At 34.3% G+C, this 21,283-nt stretch overlaps 1 protein-coding gene across 13 annotated transcripts in view; it reads left to right on the top strand.

Annotated features, from left to right (window-relative positions):
- The window catches only part of DLG2 (discs large MAGUK scaffold protein 2), a 2,173,362-nt gene that overhangs the window by 330,803 nt on the left and 1,821,276 nt on the right, over positions 1 to 21,283 (top strand). For all 13 annotated transcript variants that reach the window (NM_001351274.2, XM_017017256.3, XM_047426494.1 and 10 more), the window contains one exon: positions 12,206 to 12,351. In NM_001351274.2, the coding sequence (NP_001338203.1) occupies positions 12,206 to 12,351 (146 nt within the window). The remainder of the gene's footprint in view (positions 1 to 12,205; positions 12,352 to 21,283) is intronic.

Raw genomic sequence — 21,283 nt, 5'->3', positions numbered from 1 at the left:
AGATGTATTTTTCAATAAAGCAAGAAGAAACATTACTATTTTCCAAAGACTGTTAGTGGAACTATCAGCATAGTTTTCCTTGTCTGGAAACAGGCAGAATGGCCTGCTGGTTTGACTATGGGGTCCTGTGTGGCTTTCCAGTGGTCTCAAGATTATCATACAACATTAGGCAGTCTAAGAGAGAACTACAAAGCTTCATGTCGTACTTGGGGACTGCAGTTGATCGGATGGTTCTTGCAACATAAAAACCATTCATCTACAAGCTGGCTTTCCACTATCACTTTAGAACAAAAGGCAGTATACTTTATTTAACCAGTACAAAAGTATGCTAATGATACCTTAGGTATATTGGGTAGCATATTTTCTAATCTGTACTTTGGTATTTGGGCATAATATTTTCTCTTAAGCTAACTCTTTAGTTATTGGGGAAGTTGGGGAAAAAGAAAGGTGACATATTTAATGGCTCTTGGTTTTATTTTTCTACAATTTTATTTAAGCAGTACATTCTCATAAGATTTTCTAGCACAGTAGATCATAAAATTTAAAATAATATAATGGAAATGATTATATCTGTACTATAATGATATGTATATGATAATTAACTTTATATAATTAATATAATTTGTACACTACAATAAATTATAATATGATTGTATCATTTTGTACAATAATATAATTATATATAATAAAATTACATCATAATTATAATAAAATTTTATTACACATTTTATAGGAATATATTTTCAATAATTTCTACAATCTAAAATTGATTTTCAGATAATTGGAACACAGGTGTTTACAAGCATGTTCTTTTTGAGATTAGCCATCAGCTGTCACTTACTGGACCAATTCCAGGTGAAATTACAGACTTTCATTTAAATTCATCCTTTTGGTGCAGTGGAATGTGATACTTTTTTCAAGTGATAGTTGATATTAGATTTATTAATCTGCCAAAAAATACCCTTCATTTCATGGTATACATAAGAGGGGACTAAGCTTTTGGTATTTATGAGTAGAATTCTTTACAGTCTTCTGATTCAGAGCTGTATGTCCAAAAGAAGGAAAAAATAAGAAAGAACTAAGTGAAAAAAAAAAAAAAAAAAGAAAATCGAAACAAAACAATCTTGCCATTTTGGCAAGTTGTAATAAAAGTCCTTATATATCCGATTTGAGGAGATGAGAGGGATGTTGTATTTTACATGTCAGAGACAGAGGTTTATTTTCCTACTTAACATGTGTCTCTATGGATAATGTCTCCCTGTAGACTGAATGCTATTCTTTCCTTATATGAGTTGTTTAATTGGACTGATTATAAAATTGCATAAAATCACCATTAAACAGAATATTAAGTAAATCTATACTTATGTGCCTGACAGCAAAGATTCCTCCAAAGTCTATTATTTCATAGCTGTTTTGCCATCTTTTTCTCTTCTGCTGCTTATTTTCTGTTAAAGTTAGTTCTTATCCTCTGGAAAAAATTGTTACAATATTATTGCGTAACTAATATTTATTGAATACTCTGTGTTCACAGCATGTAAAAAGCAAATCTGAGAGGCCAATAGAGTCAATTTGTAGCATCCTCTTTAATGTTTGTCTCCTGGCTTAACTATACTGAAAGTCTATAGCTACTTCTGTGCATAAGCATTCTTGTCTCCCTTGGCATTCATCAGCTGGAAAGATCCCTGGAGTCCAAACTCTCATTCTGTTTGAGATTTTGCTGATGGAAACCAACCAAGTAGCTTCAGCTAAGCACTGTGCTATTGAGATTAGTTAAAATATCCTTGGTAACAGGTCCTGGAAAGTTTTTGAGAGTTCCTTAGGTTTGATTTTCTTTCCATCTGGTGATCTGAAGAATTTTCTAAATGATATTCTAGTCATGCGTTTGACAATAAAATATACTTGTTTTAGCACTGATATTATTTAATTAACCCCTAACATTCTATTATGCATACTGTTGCAGCATGTTGCATTAAAGGGTTTAGGCTTAAGTGTCAAATGTGAATTCCAGTAATAGCCTTGCCATTGTCCAGCCTGATGACCTTGAACCAGTCTCAGTTTCTCCATCTCTAACATGGGTGTAACCTACATGTCTCATAAGATGATCAAAAGAAGTTAGTAAAATGAATGACATTTACAAAGTACAACTAAACACATGGAGTTTATGCATGGCTGGTAAATGGCAAATGCTAATTTCTTTCTTCTCTCCTGTCTTCAATGAGCAATACCAATACTTAATCACAGATTGGAAGATATTGGGAATTTTTTAGTGGGGAGGTAGGCATGAAAGAATATGTAACTTAAAACTGGGCTCATACAGATTACATATAGTTACTTATCTTCTGAAGATTTGTAGAATTTACATGGTAAATCTTTGTGAGGTAAAAAGAATTGACAACGTTCCTACATCTTGAATGATTGATGTGAAATTGAAAGTTAATTATCTCCTAGATATAGAATAAGACACACCTCCTGGTGGTTTGGGAGTATAAGTGCTATAAGTGTAAGATAAAAGGTAGCTGATTTGCATTAACAATATCTTGAGTTTATTTAGTGCCTGCTTTTTGAGCAACTTGAAGTAGCACATTTATTCATCAAGGAGATATTTTGAATTAAAATTCATTTTAGAGGTCGTATTTTTAAAGACCTTATTTGGGCCACAAAAATACTGTGTTCCTTCATGCACATCTTATTGCATCTCTGTTACAATTTCCATTTGAATCAGCTTTTTAAAAACTTGTAAATAACAATTTCTGCCTCCTTGTCAAGTATTAATTCTGCTTTATTGATTCAAGTGTCTGCACCCTTGACTCTTATGGAAGAAGTGACTCCTGGCTGAGCATATTCTATGTTCAGGTATTCAACATTTAATGAGACTGCCTGGTACACAGTATTGTTGGAAGATATGTTAATCAAAGAATATCATAGCTACCATTTACTATGTTTTATATAACTGTTCAACCACATGGAGTACTTACACATGTAAATTTTATAGGTGAAGAAGGTGAGGTTTAGAGAAGTTAAGTAACTTGCATAAGGTCACACATTTAGTAAGTAGCAGAGCCAGGGCCATTTTGTTTGACTTCAGAGCTTGTGCTTTTATCTCCAAGTAATTATACTACCTCACATATGCCCTAATGATCTGATCTTCTACCTCTTCCATGCCATTCTGCACTGTATACTTCATTCCTCTTCGAGTCTCTTTCCTGTAGATTTTTTTTTTTTACAAATGTTACTGGATATTTCTCAGTTCCATACTTATCACTAACACCTCCTAGTCACCTTACCATTTTTCAAAGTGGTGTATTTCAATGTAATTTCAAATATACAGAAAAGTTATAAGAATAGTAGTCACTTTACCCAGATTCACCAATTGTTTACATTTCACTCTATTTATTATTTTCTATATATGCATGTCTCTATATATCTCTGTATCTCTATACACACATATACACATATATACATATATATGCATATCAGTTTATTTTTATTTTTGTAGATACGGGTTCTCATCATGTTGACCAGGCTGGTCTTAAACTCCTGGCTTCAACCAATCTTCCCACTTCGGCGTCCCAAAGTGTTGGAATTACAGGTATTAGCCACCATGCCCAGCTTTGCATGCATCTTATTAATGAAGTGCCTGATGCCATTCACTCATTTGAGAATAGTTGGGGGCATTAGGCACATTGATCACTAAATACTTACACATTTTCTAAAACCAAGAATATTCTCTTATATAAATAGTGCAGTTATCAAAATCAGGAAATTTAACATTGCTACAATATTATTATCTAATGAGCAGTCCAAACTCATTTCAGCAGTTGTCTCCATAATGTCTTTTATAGTTGTATTTCCTCAGTCCAAGATCTAAGTTACATTACCCGTTGCATTTAATTGTCATGCCTGTTTAGTTTCCTTTAATCTGCAATAGTTCATAAGCTTTTCTTTTCTTACCTTGACATTTTTGAAGATTTCAAGTCAAGTATGTAGTAGAACGTCTTATAATTTGCATTTGTCTGATGTTTCCTTATGATTAGATTCAACTTACGCATTTTGGGCAGGAATATTACAGAAATTATGCTATGTTCTTCTTGGTATTTGATAACAGGAGGCTCCCCGTGCCAGTTTGTACTATTTTAAAAAATAATTTTATAAGTACCTTTTTATTTTTTGCAGAGATGAGGTCTCACTATATTGCCCAGGTTGTTCTCAAACTCTTGGGCTCAACTGTTGCTCCTATCTCCTGCGTTCGCCTCCCAAAGAGATTACAGGCGTAAGCCACCATGCCTGGCCCATTTTGTTCTAATTGGTGGGGAGATACTATAAGGCTATACAATGCCACATTCTTTGTCCTATTTTTTACCACTAGTTGCAGAATCCCTCAATGATTTTATAACTCCATCATTTCTTCTATATTTATTAGTTGGAATTCTGGAAGGAAGAACTTTCCCTTCTCCCCCATTTAATCATTAATTCTTTCTATATCAGGATGAAATAATGGATTATTATTTTATTAAAAAGGTTATATCCCATGACTATTAATTTATTTTTAAGGCTCAAATTATTTCAGATTTAGTCATTAAGAGCCCCTTCAAGCTGGCTTACATGTCCTTTTGATATGATCCTGTGATTTTTGAGCACTTCCTTACTTTCTAGTACAAAAAGATGTACTAGACTCATAATTTCCTTGTTCTCATCCTGTGAGCCCTTTCTCCAAAAAGCCTTGGTTCTTTTTAATAGAGGAAAATACTTTGAAACCAAGATTTCCTTCATAATCTCTCTGCCCCACCCCCACTCCCTCCTTCCTTTCTCCTCTCTTCTCTTTCTTTTCCTTCCCTCCCCTCCTCCCTTTCTTCCCTTCCTCCCTCCTTCCTTCCCTCCCTCCCTCCCTCCCTCCCTCCCTCCCTCCCTCCCTCCCTTCCTTCCTTCCTTCCTTCCTTCCTTCCTTCGGTTGTGCTTTGTCTAGGCACAGAAGAAGCCCAATCATATCAGAACAATGTGGAATTTGCATGACCCTTTGGGTATGAGCATTTACTCATTCTCTGGTCTTATGTGTTCAGCATCTATTGAGTTCCATTTTGCGTTAGTCCTTGGACTCCGGGTTTTGCACTCATTCCTGTTTTGTCTCTTTTATTCCCTTACTTGGTACTTGCTTTCACTGGGTCTAGGCTGTGAAATTTATATTTTCATTTCATCTACATTCAACTTCAGTCCCTTCCTCACATTCAACTTTATTCCTCTAGTTCCAGGTAATATTCTTAAAGAAACTTTTCTTGGTACAAAGCCTAAGATAGGACGTTTACCACACTGATAAAGGCTTTATTGAAAATTCCACTTCTATGCTTCAGTGTCTAGTAGTTTTGGACTCATATGGATTGGGAGAATGAAAACTTTTTACTTTGCAGAAGAGAAAGTATGGGATATGGATACAGGATAAGGAAATTGGATATGAACATTTATCTGACTCCCTAAGCAGAACCAAGTGTTCAGAAAAGCCTAATGGAACATCAAGACTGTAATATCATTTTGTAACATCATTACATATAGTAAGATCACCTGTGCTATACTGTCCAGCTGAATTCAAAGCAGGTATGTGGTAAGAGAACAAGGTATGTTGGAGGAAGCGTAAGGCATATGTCTTAAAGCACATCTTACCGTCTCTTTGTTGCAGCTGTAAGAAGAGAATCCTGGCCAGGCGTGGTGGCTTATGCCTGTAATCCCAGCACTTTGGGAGGCTGAGGCGGGTGGATCACTTGAGGTCAGGAGTTAGAAACCAGCCTGCCCAATGTGGTGAAACCCTATCTCTACTAAAGATACACAAATTAACTGGGCATGGTGTTGGGCACCTGTAATTCCAGCTACTTGGGAGGCTGAGTCAGGATAATCGCTTGAACCCTGGAGGCGGAGATTGCAGTGAGCCGAGATTGCACTGCTGCATTCCAACGTGGATGACAGAGCAAGACTCTGTCTTAAAAAAAAAAAAAAAAAGAAGAGAATCCTCAGGTGATTTTGGTAAATTTTTGGGATTAAACAGCTTTGGTGAGCTATGGCCATATATGCCAATCACCAAAAACCAAATGAATCAACACTAACAACCTCCACAGGGGTTTCTGGTTGGCAGAGTACAGAGGTGACTGCTATTGTTCCCATAATACTATGCCTGGTAACATGAAGGCTGGGATGGGAAGAAGTGCAAAAAGACATTCCCCAGTCACTTTTATTCTAGCCCATAATAGATTAAAAAGTATGTAAAGATGTTACACATTGGGCATTCTAGTTACTTTTTAATTTTATTGTGGTTAAGTAGATAATTGCAGAGCAACTCATGAGTCACACAAGAAAAAAGCCTCATGATTTAAGAATCGTATTTTCTTAAGTCATGTAAAAAATCCTTTTTTCCATTACTTATATTTGAAGTTTGCCTAGTGAATTTTGGTGATTTCAAGAAAACCAAACTTCCTTTCAAGAGAAAAATATTTACCATTTCCAAGGACCTTAAAAATCTCATCAAATGCTTGAAGGTATATCTCAAAGAGGAGTTTTAAGTGTCTTTTGAGGAAATAGTAGCATCATTGAAATAGGTATGTCATGTTAGGTGTTTCTTCTTGGAAGAAGATGAAATATTTTGAGTATATGTTGAGTTTTTAAGGATGTGCTTGAAAATCCAGTCCTATTTATTATGAATTTCCTTCAACATGCTGTTTGACAATTGAAGACCTAACTGTGTCAGAATCATTATTATGAAGACCAGATCTCATTTTCAAGGAGTGTAGGTTAAAAGAGAGAGAGATTGGACTGAATAGGGGCTCTCTCAGCTCTCACCTAGAAGTCAATTTTTTTGTTTTAATGGATCCTAAAGGCAGAAGATGGACATACAGCTTCTTTCAACTAAGTTCTAATGAATTCAATCTAAATCAGTTTAGTCAATAATATCCATACTAAGTACTTATTGTTTATGAATCAATAGGCAGAGTTCTTCACTTGCCATCTTCCTTCTATTATGGGCATCTTTCACCCTATTCCCCTCTTTAACCCCACTTTTCTTTTGAGTCACTGCAAGAGGATTGCAGTGACTCAAAAGGGCTATTTGAATTGAGAGTATGAAATTCTTATCCCTGAGATGCTATTTCTTAAGTCCAATGTTGCTAGTGGATCAGAAGCCATGTACCTCACCTGAGAGCTTATTAGAAGTGCAGAAATTCAGGCCCCATGTCCCCAGGAAATTTTTGTGTACATTAGAGTTTGTAAACACTTTCCTGTAAATTTAACAATAATTTATAGATGATTCTTTAAAAATTGTGACATCAAAATGGACACGTCTTCAAGAATTTGAGGTGCTGTGATTAAATCAAGGAGTCAAGTCACATAAAAATGTAATCTAAACAATATGCAGGGTTTAGCAGTCCTGAGTGAGAAGGGATTTGACTTCATTCAATGATTTTTCTTCTGTTAGATCCTTAAAAAGAGAGGGAATACAAGTAAATGAAAATTACCAAGAATTCATTGTGTGCTTGCTGAGTTTAAGGATAATGCTAGATACTAGAGAATATATGGCTGGATAGAACATTGTCTTCATTCCTAAGGGCCTTGCATAGCGCTTAAAAACTACTTAGTGAATTGAAATGTTGAAAACAGGTGGGTGAACAACTATTTCTACTATAAGGCTGAAAGAGAAATAACTATTTGAGTAGATTCAAGCAGTATGTTTTTGGAACAGGAGAAAACAGCAGCATTTTACTTTGCAGAAGAGAAAGTATGGGATTTGGATACAGGATAAGGGAAGTGGATATGAGCATTTATCTAGCTCCCTAAGCAGAACCAAGTGTTCAGAAAAGCCTAATATAATTTGCAACATCGTTAAATATAGGAAGATCAACTGTGCTATACTGTCTAGATGAATTCAAAGCAGGTATGTCGTAAGGGAACAAGGCATGTTGGAAGAAGCATAGGCGTATGTTTTAACACATTTTACCATCTGTTTGTTGAAGCTGTAAGAAGACAATCCCCTACAACTTTCCAAACATATTTTCTTTTTGATGATAGTGGCTTGGGTGTTCTTACTACCTACTCAATTGAACCCAGTTTTAGTAAAAATAATTTCTTGATGATGACATTTCATATTTAGATCTCTGACTTCAAATATTGTTTTTACACACACTGAACTGGAACTGGGCATTGAAGGAGAAGGAGGATTTCTAAGTGTGGGAAGGGGGATCTGGGCCTAGAGAAGAGTGTGAGTAACAGATGGCGAGGGCCTGAACTCTGGCAGTGGGAATGATGGTGCTGGTGGTGAGGAAAGAGGGTGCAAAAGAGAGATGCTTGGAAAGTGACAAGGGGATATATGTCAATTATTAAAAAATAATTCTTGTTAACCAAAAGTGAAATTTGACATTGATCATTGAATTATCATCAAATTTAAGTCATCTTTGACTTAATCATGGTTATTTTCTTCCTCTCTAGTAGTTGCTTAAGGCATGGAGAATAAGCAGACAAAAGAGTGAAATAGAATTAGAACACTTCTTCACATTTGGGGGTATAAATTAATGAAGATTTGTAAGTTTAATATTAAAAATATTGTCCCTAGGGTTTTTCTAAATGTGATCAAATCACTGTTTGTTATGTTTCGAAGTACAGCTTATTGATATAAATGCATAGCGTGAGTATGATAAATACCCTTTCTTTTCTGAATAATTTGTACACGTAGTATTTCAAATTTTGGTGACTTGCAAATACTGCTCATGAAACTGTTTATATCCTATAAAACGATACAGAGAAAAAGACTCTTGAAATTTTACTATCTACAAAAATTGTTTTATTCATTACAAGTCGTTATTCTTTTAAGAGACTGTAGCTGCAGATATGTTTACAGAAATTCTTTTTTTTCTTTTCCCTTTATTTTTAGTTTTTATTTTTTTGAAAGTGAGTCTTGTTCTGTTACCAGGACTGGAGTGCAGTGGCATGAACACAGCTCACTGCAGCCTTGACCTTCTGGGTTCAAGCAGTTCTGCCTCAACCTCCTCAGTAGCTGGGACCACAGGCACACACCACCATGCCCAAATTCTTTTCTCTCCATTAATACGTGAGGCAAGATGATGCAAACATATTTTGTTTTCTGGGTTTTATCTTTTTTTTATTCCTTATTTCTCTGATTTTTGTCCACCCAATTAGTAACCTACCAGCCCGTATGTTATTAAAAAAATCTGGGAAAGATGTATATCTGTACAGATTTTACTTTCTGTTCTTACACATTTTTCAAACATGACCTCACAGTTACTTTATTGCTAGTGGAGAATAAAGTTGTAGCTGTACATAAAATTTAAGGATTGCTAACTTTTCTCTGTAAATCTTAATATTTATGAAACACAAAATTTTTCTTTATTATTTATGAAAATATAATATTTAATTCATACAAAATAATATATGCAATTTATCTATAATATACACAGCATAACAAAACAAACATTTCTGAAATTGCTACTGACATCTAGAAATAGATCCTTACCATTAACTTGTATCTACTCATATGTACTTTCCTTATCCCACTTCCTTGCCCACCCTGTCTACTGAAGTAACTACATCTTTTCATGTCGTCCTTTGCTTTTGTCTATTTGTTTTGTTACATGTATATGTATGGATGCTTAAAAATATATAGTTCAGTTTTGTACATTTTTCAACTTTACAAAATTTTTTTCATATTGCAACTTGCTTTATTCACCCAACGTTATTTTTCTAAGATATATAGTTTCATGATATTATCATTCATTCATTTTTACTGCTCCATACACTCCATCTTGAGAACATATCACAATTTATCTATTTCACTTTTGATGGACATTGGAATGTTTCTAATGTTTGCTACTGTAATCTATGCTGTTAGGAATATTTTGGTTTGTTTTTGATGCATATGTGCCAAAGTTTATCTAGGATATGTACTGGGTAGTAGAAATACCGACTTATAGGATAAACAAATGTTAAATTATTTTCTGAAGTGGCTATAGCAATTTGCACTTGCTAGGAATAAATAAGTTACCAAGGATTCATGTCTTTTTCTAGTCCTTGTACTGTGAGACTTAATTATTTTTGACAATATTTTTGATGTAAATGGCATTTGACTATGATCTTAGTTTGTATTTTTTATCACCAATGAGGTCGAGGATCTTTCCTAGGCTTATCTGTGACATGTATTTCTTTTACTGTGAAATGCCTGCTCATAACTTTTACCAATTCTTTTCTTTTAGTTTGCTTGTCTTTTTCTTTGCGATTTGTATTTCTTTTCATATCTGGATACTGTTCCTTTGTCTGTGTGCTGTGAAATTATCTTCTTTCAATTTGTACCTTGTCTTTTTGCTTTCTTTATTGATACATATATATATTTTATGCATAATTGATACATAATGAACTACATATATAATGCATAATTTAATAGGTTTGGACATATGTATGCACTATAAGCACAATAAAGATAGTAAGCATACACATCACTCTTAGAAGTTTCCTCTTACCCTTTTGTAATCCCTCCTACTCATCCCTTTATTTTATATTTTGTGTTATAATCCAATACTAGGTAATATTGTTTTTGCTCAAATTGCTCCAGCTTTGGCCATCTTTGGCAGCTCTTTCATGTGGTTCTTGTGTTTCTTTGATATTCCCCCACTGTAGCAGGGTTGTTTCTCTGGTGACTATTTCTTTATTTGCTGGGGCTATAAGATGTTCCATGCTCATCTTATGTCTCCTGCCCCAGTCCTACGATCAACCATTTCTCCAAGGAGCTTCTTTTATTGGAAAATAGTATTACAAACCAAGATCTGGGCTCTGGGTGTGTTTGTTGCTGCTGGGGTGTCCCTGCTTCTAGGTCCTCTCAGAAGACAGAGCCAGGAATTATATATGACAAAGCTGGGAAATGTCCAGATACATATTCATTTCTGTTTCTAAACATATTTTTATCTATCTCTCTATCCTGTAGCTCTTGAAAACTTTGAGTTCATATAGACACCCTCATTGCTAATATAATATGACAGTGTTCATTACTCTTTAGCAATGCTGCACAGAGGCCAAAATCAGAGTGCTAGTTTTGTTTGTTATTACTATGGCATCATTGCTTCTAGGCCTTCTCAGCAGATGGAGCAAGGAAATATATGTGTGTATAACTGATTTGTGTATATACATGTCTGTAAATATTCTTATATGTATTCATCTGTATCTACATTAAGCTAAACATGTCTCCAACTCTCATCTAATATCATATGAATCATTTTAACCTTACTTGCCTGTAACTTTCTATAGAACAGTAAGAAACTTGGCTCCCATCATCTACCATCCATTCACTTAATTGTTCAATTTTAGTATACATGTATTGTGTTTTCAGAATTGTTCATCTGTACCCAACAGGACACAAGTTTACCAACTAGAGTATGATGCTTTTGTATAGTTTCCTTGACTTTGGTTTTATAGTCTCTGTTCATTTTCAAAGTTACTTAAGTCAGTACTTTTTTTTTCCTGTTGACTTCTTGGAGGTTATTTTATACATTTGTAATACAGTTACATTCCTTTGTAACAGTCTGCATTTCATCTTGGGATCCTCTGACTTCCTACATGATTTTTTTTTTAATTTGCCTACGTTAAGGTTTACTTTTTGTGCTATTGAGTTCTTTGGGTTTTGACAAATGGTTCATGTTATGTGTCCAACACTACAGTATCATTAGAGAATATTTTCATCATCCTCTGCATTATCTAGTCAAACCTCCTTCTCTTTCTCAGAACCTCTGGCAAACATTGATTTTTTAAAACTATCTCTTTAGTTTTACTTTTTCCAGATGCTATATAGGTGGAATCATACAGTATGTATCCTTTCCAGACTGACTTCTTTCACTTAGCAATATGCATTTAAGATTCATCTATGTTTTTGCTTTGTTTGATAGCTCATTCCTTATTACTGAATAACATTCTATTATATGGATTTACTACAGTTTATTCACTTTTTGAAGGATTTGTTCTAGTTTTTGTAATTATGAATAAAGCTGCTATAAGCATTCTAAATGCAGGTAAAAAGATAATTTTCAGGATTTCTTCTGTTTTACTTTGGGATATATATTTATGCAGTTCTTTTAATCAGCAAAATTTCTGTATGTCTATATATGGACATATATGCAGAAGCTATTTATGAAGTCATGCATTACATTTTGATGCTTTCCTTACATTTTCTTTACAGATATCCAAGAATTTTATGAGGTGACATTGCTAAATTCTCAAAAAAGTTGTGAGCAGAAGATAGAAGAAGCCAATCAAGTTTTACAGAAATGGGAGAAGACATCCCTTCTTGCTCCGTGCCATGACAGACTTCAAAAATCTTCAGAGGTATACTACTGAAACTTCCAAAAGAACTGAATAATACTAGGACTTAGGCCACTAAAGAAGTAATGGTAGTAGTGGTGATTATTATCAACAAATGGCAACAACAATAATAGAAATGTAGTTATACCATACTGTATGCAATTTTCATATATGAAAATTCAATTTTTCCAAAACATAAAATAGGGTGGGAATGATATGATTCTTTATATTTTTTGAGTGGGTTATGTTAGCAAAATTGTCATAGTTTGAGTTGACTCAAGTCTAAGGCATTCTGGAGTTTCAGAACATGGTTACCTGTGCTGTAGGGGAAGGAGATGGATGGTAGAATAGGGAAGTGTGGTCTAAGACTCTGATTTCCATAGGAAGGGCACATATCCTGGGGCAAGAATATAAAATGATCAGTTGAAGTGTAGGAGCAGAATATTAGAATTCCTATTTCCAGTTCTTTTAATCATATTCTTTAAAATTTTCTATATTTGGGTAACTTATATATTAGTAGTAACTAATTTTAAAAATAAATATAAAGCAATTAGAGTTGTACGATCAACTTGTTTTTACAAATAGAATTATGGAATCAAACAGTTTGGACACTACTGTTAAAAATCAACATTTACCAAAGACTAAGGCAAGTTGAGGCATGTCTCAGGTTCATACCTAAGGGCTAACAGGGACAAGTCAATGGATACTTTTAAGTGGCAGTCAATACTTTGAAGGGAGGTAATAGTACATACCCACACACACTATTTTTCAAGATTGGAGTCATGTAGCCAACTCGATGTTTTGGAAGCTACATGGAATCCTAGTGCCAATCAATAGCATGTTGATTGCTGAGTTTGTATTGTTAATATTGAGGCCTCTCATATATTTTCTGTCCTGCTCAGAGCTGATTTGTAAACTGGGAAGGACAGAGCCTAATTATCACCCTAGTCACTTAAAAAAAAAAAGTTAATCATGACAATAATTTGATAAATAATAGATATCAACCTTGTGAAATTATACTTAAAAGCATAAAAATAAGCATCATCCTAATTTTAGCACCTAGAAGTAATTATTTTGACTTTTTTAGTCCTTTTTTGTACAAATATATGTACATGAAGTTGGGACAATAGCATATAGGGCATTTTATGTCTTTTACATTTAATGTTACACTAATAGCATTTATCCATATCATAACATTGAACATTTTTGGAAAATATTTTAGTGGCTATGAATATTCCATGATTTGGAACTTATTTAAGCAGATCTTCATTCAAATCTAGGCTATCTTCAATTTCCTGCTTTGAATAATGCTGTAATGGATGTGCATGTGTATAAGCCATTGCTTTTTTTTTTTTTTCTAACTGTTTCATTAGGATTGATTTTATAAATGAAACTGTTGAGTACAAGGGTATGGACATTTTTAAGTCTCTGGATACAAATTGTCAAGCTGTTTTGGAGAACAATGCTATCAGCCATCTTTCAAAAGGCCAATCTGCCTATATCTTTAGTAGCATTATTTTATTATTTAAAATATGTTGTCAAATTAATAGATAAGATGTTTTACTTAATGCTTTATATTGCAGTTACGTGTTCACTATCATGATTCAACTTTTTACATGATTATTGGTTGTCTATTTTTCTTTCATGATCCATTCAAGCTCTTTGTCTATTTTTCTAAGTGGTACTAGAATTCTTAATTGCTTTGAAAGAGCAGTTTATTTATGAAACATGCCATCCTGTTGTCATAATTGTTTTTTTTTCTGGTTTGTTTATTATTATTAATTTTGCTTATAGTACTTTTTAACCTTCAAAATAGTTTTAATTTTTATGTGATAAAATTATTACTTTTTAAAAAATTCTTTCTTCTTTGCTTTATCTTTCTTCATTCTAGGACTAGTTAAGTATTCTCCTGTATTTTTTTCTAGGCTTTCATTGCCTTGATATTTTTGATTTTTCAATTTTCTTTTTTTTAAAAAAGTAATTAATTAATTAATCAATTTTTAACTTTTATTTTAAATTCAGGGGTACATGTGCATGTTTGTTATATAGGTAAACTCATGTCACAGGGGTTTGTTGTAAGATTATATTTCATCACCCAGGTGCTAAGTAACCAGTAGTTATTTTTTCTGATCCTTTCCCTCTTCCCACCCTCCACCCTCTAGTAGGTGCCAGTGTCTGTTGTTCCCCTGTTTGTGACCATGTATTCTCATCATTGGCTCCCACTTATAAGTGAGAACATGCAGTATTTGTTTTTTTGTTCCTGTGTTAGTTGGCTAAGGATGATGACCTCCAGCTTCATCTATGTTCCTGCAAAGGGCATGATCTCGTTCCTTTTTATGGCTGTGTAGTATTCCATGGTATATATGTATCACATTTTCTTTATCCAGGCTACCACTGATGGACATTTAGGTTAATTCCATGTCTTTGCTATTGTGAATAGTGCTGCAATGAACATACAGGGGTGCATGTGTCATTACGAAAGAACATAAACTTTCAAAAACATTATTTTATTCAATTTCTAGATGCATAGTCCCATATATATTGCATAGAAGCATAAATGATAAATATATACTTTTTATTCTAAATACAGTTGTTCTTAAAACAATTTTTCTATTTTTGTGGACTCCCCTTTCACTCACTTTCCGCTTATACTGTATCAGCTCTATCCTCCCTGCATGCAAGGTAACTGATGTTAGCAATTTGTGCATTTTGTGTGTTTTTTCTTAATTTTTATTTTTAATTATTATGGATACATAATAGTTATACATATTTATGGGGTACATGCAATATTTTGATACAAACATATAATGTGTGATGGTTAAATCAGGGTAATTGGGATGTCCATTACCTCAAGCATTTATCATTTCTTTGTGTTAGGAACATTCTAATTCCACTTTTTAAGTTATTTTGAAATATACAATATATTATTAATCATAGCTGCCCTATTGTGCTACTGAGCACTAGATCTGTTTCTATCTAACTGTATTTTTGTACCCATTATCCATCTCTTCTTTATTCTCCCCTGCCCATTACCTTCACAGACCCTTGTACCCATCATTCAACTTTCCATCTGCATGTGTACATTTTATTTTTTTTAGCTTCCATATATGAGTGATATTTGTCTTTCTGTGCCTGGCTTATCTCACTTAACATAATGTCCTTCAATTCCATCCATGTTGTTGCAAATGACAGGAGTTTATTTATTTATTTTTTTTTTAGTCAAGTAAATTCCCATTGTGTGTATGTACCACATTTTCTTTATCCATTCATCTGTTGATGGACACTTTGATTGATTCCATATCTTGGCTATTGTGAATGGTGCTGCAATAAACATTGGAGTACAGATACTTCTTCAATATACTGAATTTCTTTATTTTAGATATATACCCAGCAGTGGAATTGCTGAATCATATGGCAGCTCTAAGTTTAGTTTTTTGAGGAACCTCCATACCGTTCTCTATAGTGGTTGTACTAATTTGCATTTCTGCCAACAGTGTACAAGGGTTCCCCATTCTCCACATCCTCACCAGCATCCGTTATTGCCCTGTCTTTTTTATAAAAGCCATTTTAACTGCAGTGAGCTCAAAGAGGAGGACAGATAAGGGATAGCCTTAGAGGCTATTGGAAAGATTTTACTATGAGCGAAATAGAAACCGTTGGAAAGTTTTGAGCATATGAATGAGTTGATCTGAGCTTCCCAAAAGGCATACAGAATATCCTGTTGTTAGAAATTAGAAATATTTTACTTTTGCCTGGATCTGTTGAACTCATTATTAGTTTCCACAGGCTTCGTTATTATAGCTATATATTTAGTATATATTAAGGTTGATAGGAAGAACAATGGGATCATTATTTTGAATCTCATGGAGTCCCTACAGTGTGCCACCCAATGATTCCTTTTCTCCTTGAAAGAAAATCAGATGGGCTTCTGAAGCAAAACTTTGATGTGATTTTAATAGCATGTAAGTTTAAAAGACCTGGAGGTAAAGGTTTTAGACTTTTCTTGTCTGGAAAGAAAGTGACATCGACTTGTTTGCATTCAGCTTGGGAAGATCTTAAATACAAGTTTCACCTACCGTTTTTTGAAATTTCATCTCCAGTGCCTGGTGGAAAGAGATCTGTCTTCTTACTTCCTCAGCATATGTGTGATAGAATTCTAGCTGCTCACCTTAAACTCTGATTTATATGAAGTTTCTGGAAAATGTAAATCAGCACCCTGATCCTTCACATCCCATAGCATTTTAACCTGTAATATGTTGTTGATATCATAAGATGACAGGAGCAGAGTCATAATATGGCTATTCTGTGTTGGATTGGTGGTGTTTTGAAATATGATAGAAATTTTTATTTAGGAATAAAAAATAAATGACCTTTTTAAAAACATTTTAAAAGAAGCATCTATTCCGAGGTTTGATTTTTTTGTTTGTTTCTTAGGTGTTTTGCTGAACTATAAGTAATTCATCTCTCTATTCTACAATATTCTATACTGAGGTGCATATCACCCTTCTCCTGTCTGCCAACACTATAATAACTGATTTTTAGCTCCCAATTATGGTGAGTTTTCTGCTTCATTTATGGGTTTTTTTGGTGTAAAAAAATGGACACAGCATCCTCCTCACTTCTGCTTTAAGTATATGTGTGTGTATTTTCTCCATAGAACTTGAGCTGCTGGGCTGAAATCTGCAATTCTAACTTGGTGACAGAAAGAAAGTAAGTTTATATTACTAACAGTGTTACAGTAACAGCACTGGGCCAGGAAGGAGGCTGCTTGGTATAGCAGAACAATCAAGAGTAATCTGAAAGTCTTCTGTTTGAATTTTGCTTTTGCCAGTTGCTAGTTACATGGCCATTGTCAAATTATTTAACCTATCTGATTTTTAATCTGTAAAATGTCAAAGTAATAATAGTGTCTACCTCATAAGGTTATTGTGAAGAATAAATAAGCTATCAGGCATGTAAAGTGCTGAGTACAATTCCTGGACCTAGGAAATGGTCCATAAAGAGCACTTATATTGATAATGATCTTGTGGAAAGTCCTGTTACGTCTCTGAGTCTCACTCACTATCTTCATCAGTAAATGGAGATAAAAACTATATGTCAGGGAGAATCAAATAAAAGGATATATATATATGCTTTGAAAAAGGAATTTTGTAAAACTGCATTATATTAAAATGCATAGTATAAATAGGACTTTTCCCCTTGTTTTGTCACTTCTCCCTGGGAATTCAGATCAAATAACCAATAAGAAAGCATTTTGCAAAGCAAAAAGCATTATGTGAATATAAGAAAATCTCACCATCATTACTATACAATGCACAAATATCTTCTCATTTAAACCTATTACTGTTACTTAAAATTCCTTCCATGGATATTTTGGTGAGGCTCCAGAAGACAAAGGGAGTTAAGGTAGTCCCTGTTAAACTGTGCATGCTATTGTAGGGTAACACAATACTGCTCTCAATAGGTTCTTGAATGCACCTATGAGGCTCTTGACATTTAAATAAAAACAATTTTTTTTTTTGCTGTTTGCTTGTTTATTTTTTGTTTTGGTTTGTTTTTCTGAGATAGTGGGTGGAAAAGAGTAATTACTTCGTATGGATTTGTGTTGGTATTTGGAGGTCCTGGGTAATGGTGGGAGGAAAGTAAACACTGATAAATAGGAGTTGGAAGAGGGGTAGAGTGGAGAGAAAAGGCACAGTCAAGGAAAGGGAACCTTAAAGGAGAAGTGAGTGTTTTCATACATAAGCTTTAGCTACCAGTTAACTTTTTATTATAGCAGCCTGGCAAGTGGCATAGAAATTAGCCCTTGAAAGGAATGATGAAACTGTTTTCCCTTCTGTTTCCTTTCTCTCTCCTCTTTTCCTTTCCTCTCTTCTTCCTATTTCCTTCCCTCCCCTCTCCTTATCACTTATTGAGCATCTGGTATGTATATTCATCTTTGTGTAGCTTCTTTAAGCTGCCACCTACCTTTGCACACATTGGTTGCTATGTAAAGTGAAACTCAGGAACATGTTTTTTCTTCATAACTTCAGCTCTGCCCGGCTATCTTTAACCTATCCTTTTTACTTGATCCCTTCTTGATTCCAATATTCTAGTTCTTGACCTGGATATTAACTATTTTCTTCTTTATTGGACTTGGTGTTCTTTCATAACATATCTTTTGGATATCAGTTATAAAGATGAGGAAAACCAAAGTTTTTTATTTGATCTTATACTTTAGAGGAAATAACAGTCTCTCACATATATAGGCCATTTTATAGTTAAAAATATAACTTCTCTAACTTGATTCTCATAATGGCTTAGTGAGGCAGGTAGAGTTGCTGTTGCTATCCACATTAGAAATGGGGAAGCTGAAGATAAGCAACTTGTCCAGGGTCATACTGTTAGAAAATGGGTAGAATCAGGAATTTGATTTCAAGACAAGAATTTTTCCTTTACACTATAGCCGAGAAAGGATGATTTTTACTAGAGTACTAGAGATGGTTTCATAGCTGGGTGGGTTTAGAAATGGGCTTTGTGTAATGTATAAGATCTGGGTTGAAGGTCTTGCAGGTGGAGAAAACTATGTGAGTAAAGGCTTAGAAGAGTAATAAAACCTGATACTTATAAATAAAGTCCAGGCTAGGCTCTTTTTTTTTTCTTTGAGGCAGAGTTTTGCTTTTGTTGCCCAGGCTGGAGTGCAATGAAACCATCTCGGCTCACCGCAATCTCCACCTCCCAGGTTCAAGCGATTCTCCCGCCTCAGCCTCCTGAGTAGCTGAGATTACAGGCATGCACTACCATGCCCAGCTAATTTTGTATTTTTAGTACAGACGGGTTTCACCATGTTGGTTAGGCTGGTCTCAAACTCCCAACCTCAGGTGATCTGCCCAGGCACTTTTAATATATTATCTCTTAATCTCTATAGCAACCCATGATGGTAGATATTTTATTGATTCATTCCTCACTTCATTTTAAATAAGATTTGAAGCGGTAGGTAGGTATTACTTATAATTTGCAGAAGAGGAAAGTAAGCCTCAGAGAAGTTAAATGTCTTCATCAAAGATACACAGTAAATTGTGCTATAGTGGGGATTAATAAACATGTGTCTGACATCCCATCACCTTTCTTAGGAGAAAGTGGGAAAGGTTTTATAAATAGTGAACATTTAGGATTAGTAGGTGGGGAGCTGAGAGTAGTAAGACTGATTAGGTTATTCTAGCTGTCTGCTTGAGAGCCTTAATTGCAATACTATAGCATTTAAATGCTTTTCTTCAGGTCGTTGTGAGCCACAGAAGGTTTTTATGCAAGTAAATGGCATTATCAGCTATGCTGGGGCAGATTAAACTGGCAGTATCATGCATAGTAGATCATAGACAAGAGAAACCGGTGACAGGGAGACCAATTAGGTAGCTGTCACACCAGAAACTGTTCAACTAGGTACCTGGAGACTATGTATTACCCTCCTGGAAGATCATGGATAGATTTTTTCTTGACAAAGCATCATTTCTCATGGGTAGTAACTTGATTTATAAAGAAGAAAATCAAATTAAATTTAGAAAATACACTCAAACTAACTTGTAAAAGAAAGAAAAATCCTGCTTGCAAAATTAATCACCTAGGAAGCCTGTGAGTAACTCACAGAGCTGGTAGTTACTTTGCTGAGGCTGAAGTTAACTCAGCATTTATCTGTGAATAGTTTACAGTAAGATTTTTCTTTGGAGTACTCTAGCTAACTTTCCAATAATATGATCTAAAATAGTGAGAGTACTTTGGTTTTCTACCTAATATTTTTCAAATATAATGAAATTAGATTACATTCATACTTACCAGAAATACTAGACCTCAAAGAAATATTACTTGGATGATGCAAAGATATTTAACTGTAAAATGTCACTATTATTCATAACTTCTTGAAATATCTCTATGTTTGACCTTCCTCTCCATTCACAATGGCACTGATCTAATTCAGGCTTTCATAGAATCTTTCTACAGATTTAGAAACAAGCTTTAACTGGTCTTCATAGTCAGGATTTTCCTCTTGTAGCTCTACCTCCCTAGGCTAACAGTTTTAAAACTATTTATTGATCTTCATTTTTTACAGATTATTGTGCCATCTCCTTAGCATAATCTTTACTGTCTGGACTGAACTTACATTAAGCTTTACTTAAGCCTTGTTCTTGTTCATTCCTCTGCCTGGAATATTTTTCCCTTTGTTTTCATCTGGAAATTTTCTACTTAATCTTTTTAAAGGTCTACCTGTCTATCAATCACGAATTTTCTAATGACCTTAACTAGAAAAATTCTTCTGTTTCCTGTACTGCCCAAGGCCTCTGTTATAGTGTTTGACATATTGCATTTAAATGACTTGCTCAAGTGTTTCACTTGTTAGATCATACCTTAATATCAAGTATTATATTTATTTACACAGCTGTAATATGGTTCAGAGCTTTTTAGGCAGTAAGTATTCAATAAATGTTTATGAAGTAGATGATTGACTGTATTTTTCTTGATGTCAGAGAATGATATGTTGTTTTGTTAAGTATATGTATATTATGCTAGAAACATGAATTAAAATTTCCTGGTTGACCCAGTGAAAAGATGCTTAGTCCTAGGTAAGATTCTGAAGATAGTTTTAAAAACACAGGAATGAGTCATGGCGGTACAGCTCACCCTATCCTTCAAATTACTTATTTTATGGCACAACATGGGACAATTATGGGCTAAAATGATGTCATACAGTTCCATACTCTTCCCTGCAGATTGTGTTACTATCAGAGTTAGAGATGTCAGAGTTTCTCCAAAACTGAGTCATTATGGAGACCGGAGAGAATGGTTAGGTTGCAATGACTATCATCTTTCCTATTTCAGATTTGATTTGGGTTGATTGCTTGCCCATTTTAATAATTTGACCTCTTTTAAACATTCATTCTTGTAATAGTGAAATTCTGTAATCCCATTTCTTATTCAACAGGCA

This window comes from Homo sapiens, chromosome 11, assembly GCF_000001405.40.
Source record: "Homo sapiens chromosome 11, GRCh38.p14 Primary Assembly".
NCBI classification, from domain to species: Eukaryota; Metazoa; Chordata; class Mammalia; order Primates; family Hominidae; genus Homo; species Homo sapiens.
This window is presented reverse-complemented; position numbering and strand designations above follow the sequence as displayed.